We start from the raw sequence: 9,030 nt of genomic DNA on the forward strand, positions 1-9,030 counted from the left end.
GGGTGTCTTCGGTCATTTCCTCCTTCAGCTGCTGCAGTGAACACAGAGTTGCCCCATCCATACCTCCCTCTTTCAAGATGGGAGCACTCTTCCCCCAGCTTCTAGATTGCTGACAGCTGTCAGGTCACAGGATCTCCGTACCAGATGACTACCCTCAGCCTAAGGCAACTGCCTTGCCCAAGGTTACACTTCCTCCTCAGGGCAGCCGTCAGCCATGATTGGTCAGTGAGTAAAGGGGAAGGAGTAGAAAGACCCAGTCCTCCTGATGGAATTCAGGGTAACTTTGAAAAATTATTTTATCCCTAGAGCTCCCTGTAGGATTGGCTAATGCATCTACTGTGGTTCCCTAAGTCCAATCCTGCTTTCTGTCCTCAAGATCCATTCTGATCCTGAGAGCACTTCCTTCTGGAAGCACCCATCACTGCCTCTCAGTTAGCTTCCTAGGTAACCTTACCTGTGACTGTAGCAGTTTCTTAGTAGGAAAGTAATATATGAGTATAGTCCCAAGGCCTACTTATCTTGGGTCTCTTTGTTTTCTAAACCAGTCCAAAAGCTGAATGATAAAAAAATTAGCAAGTTCATTAAGGCAAAATAGCCAAAACATACAGAAATGCATTTTGTTTTTATCGTAATTAATTCTAAGGCATCGTTATACTCCATGATTTTTTTCTTTAATTCAGGGTCTCCTTCTGCCCCCCAGACTAGAGTGCAGTGGCAGGAGCATAGCTCACTGCAGCCTTGACCTCCTGGGCTCAACCAATCCTCCCACCTCAGCCTCTCAAGTAGCTGGGACTACACGTGGCTGCCGCCACACCTGCCTAATTTTTAAAAAGGCTGAGGCAGAATTGCTTGAACTTGGGAGGCGGAGGTTGCAGTGAGTAGGGATCATGCCACTGCACTCCAGCCTGGGTGACAGAGTGAGACTACGTACGTCTCAAAAAAAAAATTTTTTTTTTTTTGTAGACGGGGTCTCACTGTGTGTCCTGGCTGATCTTGAACTCCTTATTTCCAGTGATTTTCCCAAGTTGGCCTCCCAAAGTGCTGGTTTACAGGCACAAGCCACAAAGCCAGGTCCCTATTTTTTTTAAAAACGAGCAGCCATAGGTAATTTTTACTATCCTTTTCACATAATGGGAGGTATTGAGGAGAGAGCCGCTATGATAAAAGCATAAGCTTCTAAGTAAAATTTATCTCTGAAATATTTTTTTTTTTACTGTCCATTTCTTTCTACAAAGACCCTAAAATTTTGCTCCTACTTTTAAAAAACTTTATGCCACAAGGAAGGCATTGCCATAGGAAAGAGAGATAAAAGGGGCAATCTATGAGTTTGTTTTGATATTTGGAGCACACTTCAGGCATATTCATTTGTCTTTGATGGCTCCTGCAAATTACAAGGCAAAAATAGACTGATATTTTGAGTTCTGTGAAACAGGTAAATTACAGAAAGAAAGAAACTTGCCCAGCCCCCTTCAGCGCTAAATCCTTCAGGCAGTTTTGAGCACATAATAAATGTTTAATAGTACTTGTTAAATAAATAAATAAATAAATAACTGATGTGTAAGTGCATTCTTAAAACTCAGAAGACAGGACTCTATTGAGTCTCATTTGGAATATATTTTTTTCATGTCTAGCAAAATCTAAATTATTCTCCTTATGTTTTCTCCCCACTTTTCACATGCTTGATAATAGGTGATAATGCCATATTACATCTGAGAAGTACGTAGCCTCCCCTTTGCGTTAGACGCAGAGCCAAGGGTAGAAATCAACTTAGAATGAGAGACCATGGCCGTTGTCATCGAAATGAAATTTAACACAGTTTTTTCAGACAATTAATTTGTTTGGCACTCATTCTGTCACGATTCTCATACCCTTTATTCTTTCATTGTGATAACTGAAAAAGTGTAACACACATGAAGAAATAAAAAAGATGCTCTTTGTCTTCTTCCATTCTTCTTAAAAGATGTTTACCACACTTCTTTCGTGAGTCAGACACTACACTGAAGACACAAAAATGAGTAAAGCAAAGCTCAAAGAGCTCACAGTCTGGGGAGGAAAAACATGAGGCCCCCATGAATAGGAAAAGGACAGTGAAGGAGGTGCAGAGCCGCAGAGCACAGCAGGAGAGGCCGAGCGCTGCAGGGGGAGAAAGGCCTCCCAGAGGTGGAGAGCCCACCACGCAGTCTTACAGGATGAGTTCGTATTCACCCAGTGTGGAGCCAAAGAAGCGATTCTTGACAAGAGTAGAGGGTTATGGAAACAATGGTAGTGGGAATTGTTCTAGTAGTCAGGAGAGATACTTAGGTGACAGATTCATAATGACTTGGTGACAGAGTGCAAATGGAGGGGGTGTGAAATAAGAAAAGTCAATGGGAGAAGAAAATTATTGTGAGAGAGAAAAGGGAACCATAAATATGGCAAAAGTCTAGGTCATGGTGGACAAACTGCTACAGACCAAAAGAGTTTAAAACTTATATCCACACAAAAATAGGCATAAAAATATCCAGACAAAAATCTTTATAGGAACTTTATCATTGCCACAACTTGGAAGCAATCAAGATGTCCTTCAGAGGTGAATAGATAAATGAACTGTGCTTCCTGCAGATAATAGAATATTATTCAATGCTAAAAATAAATGAGGTGTCGGGCCATTAAATGACAAGGTAGAACCTTAAATTCATATTACTAAGTGAAAGAAGTCAAGTTGAAAAGCTACATACTGTACCATTCCAACTATAGTCATTCACTTCATACTGAAGTTTCAGTAAGCAACAGACAGCATATGCAATGGTGGTCCCATAAGATTATAATGGAGCTAAAAAATTCCTATCACCTGAGTGCCATTGAAAGCTTTGCAACGCCACAGAGCAACACATTACTCAAGTGTTTGTGGTGATGCTGGTGTAAACAAAGCTATGACTGTGTTGCCAGTCATAAAAGTATAGCTCATACAATTGTATAGAGCACATCATACTTGGTGATGATAATATTAATAACTATGTCACTGGTTTATGTTTTTACTATACTAAATTTTTTATTGTATTTTAGAGTGTACTAATTCTACTTATTTATTTTTAAAAAGTTAACTATAAAATAGCTTCAAGCAAGTCCTTCAGAAAATACTACACAGGAGAAAACATTTAAAATAAAAAAAATAATAGAAAAATGCTTATAGAATAAAGATAAATAGAGATAAAATATTTTTGAATGGCTGGCTGTACAATGTGTTTGTGTTTTAAGCTAAGTGTTATTACAAAAGAGAAAAAAAGTTTAAAAAAACTTTATAAAGTAAAAAATTACAGTAAGCTAAGGTCCAGTCCAGCAAGCTCCATCCTTGTGAAGTGCCCTCTACAGAAGTACCATTTTTAAATCTTTTATCTCATATTCTTACTGTACCTTTTGTAGACTTAGACATGTTTAGATACACAAATACTTACCACTGTGTTACAACTGCCTATAATATTCAGTACAGTAACATGCGATACAAGTTTGTAGCCTAGGAGCAACAGGCTATGCCACATAGCTTAAGGGTGTAACAGGCTATAACAACTAGATTTGTGTCTCTACATTCTTGATGTTTGCACAACAACAAAATTGCCTAAAGATGCATTTCTCAGAATGTATCCCCATTGTTAAATGACACATAACTTCTATGACATTCTGGAAAAGGAAAAACTCTGGTGACAGTCAAAAAAAAAAAATCCACTCCTCTCAGGAGTTGGTGGGAAGGAAGGGATAAATAGGTGAAGCACAGAGGATTTTTAGGGCAGTGAAAATACTCTGTATGATACTATAAAGGTGGACATGTGTTATTATACATTTGTTCAAACCCATTTCTTAGTCTGTTTGGGCTGCTGTAACACCACTATCATAAACAGGATGAATTATGAAAAACAGATATTTGTTTCTCATAGTTCTAGAGGCTGGGAAGTCCAAGATGAAGGCACTGGCAGCTTCAGTGTCTAGTGAGGGCGCTGTGGGCTTCATAGATGTCACTTTCTTTCTGCATCCTCACATGATGGAAAGGATACACATGCCTTCAGGCCTCTTTTATAAGGGCACTAATTCCATTTATGAGAGCTCCACCCCCAGGACCTAACTACCTCCCAGATGTCCCACTTCCCAATACCACTACAGAGGGAATTGAGTTTCAACATATGAATTTTGAAGGGACACAAACATTCAGACCATAGCACCAATAGAACGTCCAATACCAAAAGAGCACCCCAATGCAAATTACACACTTTGAGTAATACAAACATAGATCAATGTAGTTCATCAGTTGCAATAAATGTATCATTCCAGTGAGAGCTAGGGATAGTGGGGAAGTTGTCTGTGGGGTAGCGGTTGCATGAGAACTCTGGGTATTTTTCTTTCCCTTTAGGAAAAAGAGAAAGAGAATGATGTCATAATTTTTTTGAAGCCTCTACTAGTGATCCTAATTTGCAGCCAAGGTTGCAAAGTACTCTTTTAAAAGAATTATATGTTAAAAAGGGAATGACATTCTGAAAGACATCAACAAAATCAGCAAGAAAAGAGCACAATGGGAGCACTGAGACCAATTAGGATTTTAATACAGTAGGAGAAGGGACAAATGATTGTGGTGGGAGTGCAGAAAAAAAAATAAGTTGATAGATTTTAGAGTTATTTTGGATAATCAAGAGATCTGGTAATTTGCCGAATACAGTAGGTAAAGACAAAGGATTCAAGGATGATACCATTTTTGGGCCTGGGCAACTAAGTCTGGGTTGTAAGCAATAAATTAGCAGCCCTGATACTGTTGGCTGGTCGCTGGTCATGCCATTCTCCTGCTAAACACAAACAGTTGCAGGAAACATCACCATTAGACAAGTTCCTTCTGTTATCACGCTAGTGTGAGACAAAAACAAGACCCTCTGTAATTCTGACAAGCATAAGCAAAATAAGAACACCATGCAAACTTCAAAAATGACCAAACATTTTCTTCTTCAAGCAATTAGGAGTGATGCCACTTCTCTATCGACTATAGCACTAGCCCTGCTCCATCCCTTCCGCCTCCTACGTAACAAATATTAAGATAACTAATTACAGAATTGTCCCTAAATGAATACACCCAATCTGGAGCCATCCTCACTTCCATGAATGCTCTCCAAAATATCAAACCCAAGCTCATCTAGCAATCCCTTCCTAGCATCCTCTTACTGAAATGTCCCACATTCTCTGTGTGTAGAGTCTCCCTTGCTGCAGCGAATAATAACCCAACTTTGTTTGACTACAGATGTCTCCTGGTGGTCTTCGACTGGTGACATTTACTGAGAAGAGAAATACTGAAAAAGCATAGGATCATTTGAGAGTAACAGGATAGAGTTTTGGTTTTTGCATGTCGAGTGGGAGGTACAATTTTTGAAGGTAATTAGATTTATTGATCCAAGACACAGAAAATGATTTTGTACTGAGAAATAGATCTGAGAGTCCAGTAAAAAGATGGTAAGTGAAACCAGAGAGAGTGGGGCACAAAAGGTTATCATGAGAAAATCTGCACAGTGAGAGGATAATAATAGGTCCAGTAGAAATCTTTAGAAATGGATGAAAGAGTAGCCAAAAACAGGAAGGAACCTAGAATGACCATAAACTTAAGGGAAGAAAGAAAAAAAAAAAAAAACAGAAGAGGGATGTTACAGAAGACAAGTAAAGAAAACACTTCAAAGAAAAGTAGTTAACTAGATCTGCACAATTTATTTGCTATAAATGAATATATCAAATAAATGACCCTCACTGCAACCTAGATAACCATCATAAAGATAGTCATAAAGATGGTCATTTGGGTTGCTTCCAATTTGGTAAACAATGCTGCAATGAGGATGATTGTACATAAATATTTAAGTACTTGTGCAGTGCATTTGAAGAATAAATTCCTCAGATTGGAATTTCTGGGTTAATGGATTTGTGTATCTGATTTTTAGTAGTTCATTATGCACTTCACAGATTGCATAAAGTAACATACCCACAATAGTACATGAATTCTTATTTCCTAAACCCTCAGCAAATACATATTTTCCCTAGCCTCAAAATGAATGTTTTCCAATCACGGCCCAGTATCTGCTGATTCAGCACTGTCCTGATTTCTTGATGAGCACTTTTAATTCACAAATGCTAGTTCCCGTGCATTAGCTCACTCTCCAGCCTGCTAAGGCTATGCCAAATGTTACAAATTGAGAGCAAACTTTTGATGGTATTTTGTGCTTTTATATCTAAAAATATAAAAATGCCTAAAGCCTGTCAATCATTCCTCCCTCTCCCTAATTTCCACAAATTTCCTAAATTAGCTCTCTAAAAGGAAACATAGCAAAAAATGGAAAATAGAGCATCACTTTAGTAACTGTGGAGTCAGTGACCAATGACCACAAAAGCATATTTCTGGCACAGGCTTTGTGGCTTTGGCTAAAAATACCCGTATCACCCCAGGCCCCATTCAAAGCTATATCTTGGGAGTATCTGAGTATCACATAGATCTATTAGGTTAAAAAAAATGGAGGAGACAGCAAGTTGACTGAGTTTGTTGGTAAATTCTCTAGAATCCAGCCACAAAACATATAAAAAAGAAAGACGAGAATATTTCAAGATTAACATGGCATTTTTATCATAAAGCAATGCCACGCCTGGTGAAAGAAGTAAAGTAAGCCTCAGTGTCTTGGAGGCTGATAGATATACCAGGGCGGCAGCTCCTCTTTCTTAGCTGAGTGCTAGGAGGTGAGTGGGAAGGACGGAGCAGAAATGTCTTCCTCCTACACCACTTAACCATGACCTAAGAGAACAGCCACACTAGCTTAGACTAGAATACAGGTCCCTGAAATGGTCTCCTTTCTTTTTTCTCTCTCGCTTTTTTTTTTTTTGGAGACAGAGTCTCAGTCACCCAGGCTGTAATACAGTGATGCCATCACAGCTCACTGCAGCCTTGACCTTCTGGACTCAAGCCATCCTCCCACCTCAGCCTCCTGAATAGCTGGGACTACAGGCACATACTATGCCTTGCTAAATTTTTATTTTTGTAGAGACAAGGTCTCGCTATGTTGCCTAGGCTGGTCTCAAACTCCTGGACACAAGCAATCCTCCCACCTCAACCTCCCAAAGTGCTGGGATTACAGGTGTGAACCACTGCACCCAGTCTCTTTCTTGACAGATCAAAGTGGGTGTCATTACAAAGGCAAAACTACAGAAACTTCTCTTCTCATTGATGCATTACTTTCATTTTTATTTACTACAGTTTATCTTTGTTTTAACAGGGTGAAAGGAAAACAAACGGTAAAATATTTGGCTGAAACTGAAGTTCATTGTGAATTTAAGGATGAACTTCACACTTAAAGTATAAGGCCCATGTATAAAAATGTATAAATATGCTACCAGTTTCCATTTTTAAAGATTAATTGAAAAAGATTTACTAAAGATGTAACGATTGTGAGTTTTCCTAGAATCAAGCTGAATATAACCAAAATAATGCTGTGATTTCATAGTCATGCTTTTACACTACTCTCTGTTTTAGTAGATACTGTAGCCTATTCTGAGTGCTATTTTTTTCTTTTTGTCAGCCTGGAAGATTCCTACTTAGTCTTTAAGCTACAGCATAAGTGTCACTTCCTCTGTGTTGCCCTTTCCCTGTTCTCTCCTTTAGTATCTACTGTGCCCCATAATTATTTATACGAAGGAACCTATATCATTGAATGGAAATCATTCATTTTTTTCTCTGTCATCCCTGATAAACTATCAGATCCTTAAGAGTATAGTTCTGAGTTTAGTCATTCGTATGTCTCCAAAACTTAAAACAATGTCCTGATCATGGGTGCTCAATAAATACTTATAGAGTAAATAAAGAAAAATATAAGTCTTTTTCTTATGCTTCTGATTCATCAACTTGAACCAGAAATGATAAGGCAGTTAAAGGGAGCTTATCGTAAGGGATATCATCTCTTTAAAGGGCCAGGTTGGGGGGAAATTCCAATAACCAGAACGTCTCATAGATAGAGAGCTCATGAAATTTGAAAATTGATGCCAGTATCAAAATGTCAGGAATACTGATTGTCAGGCCTCTGAGCCCAAGCCAAGCCATCGCATCCCCTGTGACTTGCACATATACATCCAGATGGCCTGAAGTAACTGAAGATCCACAAAAGAAGTAAAAATAGCCTTAACTGATGACATTCCACCATTGTGATTTGTTCCTGCCCCACTCTAACTAATCAATGTACTTTGTAATCTCCCCCACCGTTAAGAAGGTTCTTTGTAATTCTCCCCACCCTTGAGAATGTACTTTGTGAGATCCACCCCTGCCCGCAAAACATTGCTCTTAACTTCATCGCCTATCCATCCCAAAACCTATAAGAACTAATAATAATCCACCACTCTTTGCTGACTCTCTTTTCGGACTCAGCCCACCTGCACCCAGGTGAAATAAACAGCTTTATTGTTCACACAAAGCCTGTTTGGTGGTCTCTTCACACGGACACGCATGAAATTTGGTGCCGTGACTCGGATCCGGGGACCTCCCTTGGGAGATCAATCCCCCGTCCTCCTGCTCTTTGCTCCATGAGAAAGATCCACCTACGACCTCAGGTCCTCAGACCGACCAGCCCAAGAAACATCTCACCAATTTCAAATCTGGTAAGCGGCCTCCTTTTACTCTCTTCTCCAACTTCCCTCACTATCCCTCAACCTCTTTCTCCTTTCAATCTTGGCGCTACACTTCAATCTCTCCCTTCTCTTAATTTCAATTCCTTTCATTTTTTGGTAGAGACAAAAGAGACACATTTTATCCGTGGACCCAAAACTCTGGCGTGGGTGATGGAATGGGAAGGCAGCCTTCCCTTGGTGTTTAATCATTGCAGGGATGCCTCTCTGATTATACACCCACGTTTCAAGGGTGTCAGACCACGCAGGGAGGCCTGCCTTGGTCCTTCACCCTTAGCGGCAAGTCCCGCTTTCCTGGGGCAGGGGCAAGTACCTCAACCCCTTCTCTCCTTGTCTCTACCCCTTCTCTGCTTTCCTGGGGCAGGGTCAAGT

At 39.7% G+C, this 9,030-nt stretch overlaps 1 non-coding gene across 1 annotated transcript; it reads right to left on the reverse strand.

Annotated features, from left to right (window-relative positions):
• Positions 1 to 8,454: 8,454 nt before the first annotated feature.
• On the reverse strand, positions 8,455 to 8,509 carry MIR4454 (microRNA 4454). Its single transcript, NR_039659.1, has one exon. It is a non-coding gene; the product is annotated as a microRNA 4454 (primary transcript).
• Positions 8,510 to 9,030: the final 521 nt, after the last annotated feature.

The sequence above is a fragment of the Homo sapiens genome, chromosome 4 (assembly GCF_000001405.40).
Source record: "Homo sapiens chromosome 4, GRCh38.p14 Primary Assembly".
NCBI classification, from domain to species: Eukaryota; Metazoa; Chordata; class Mammalia; order Primates; family Hominidae; genus Homo; species Homo sapiens.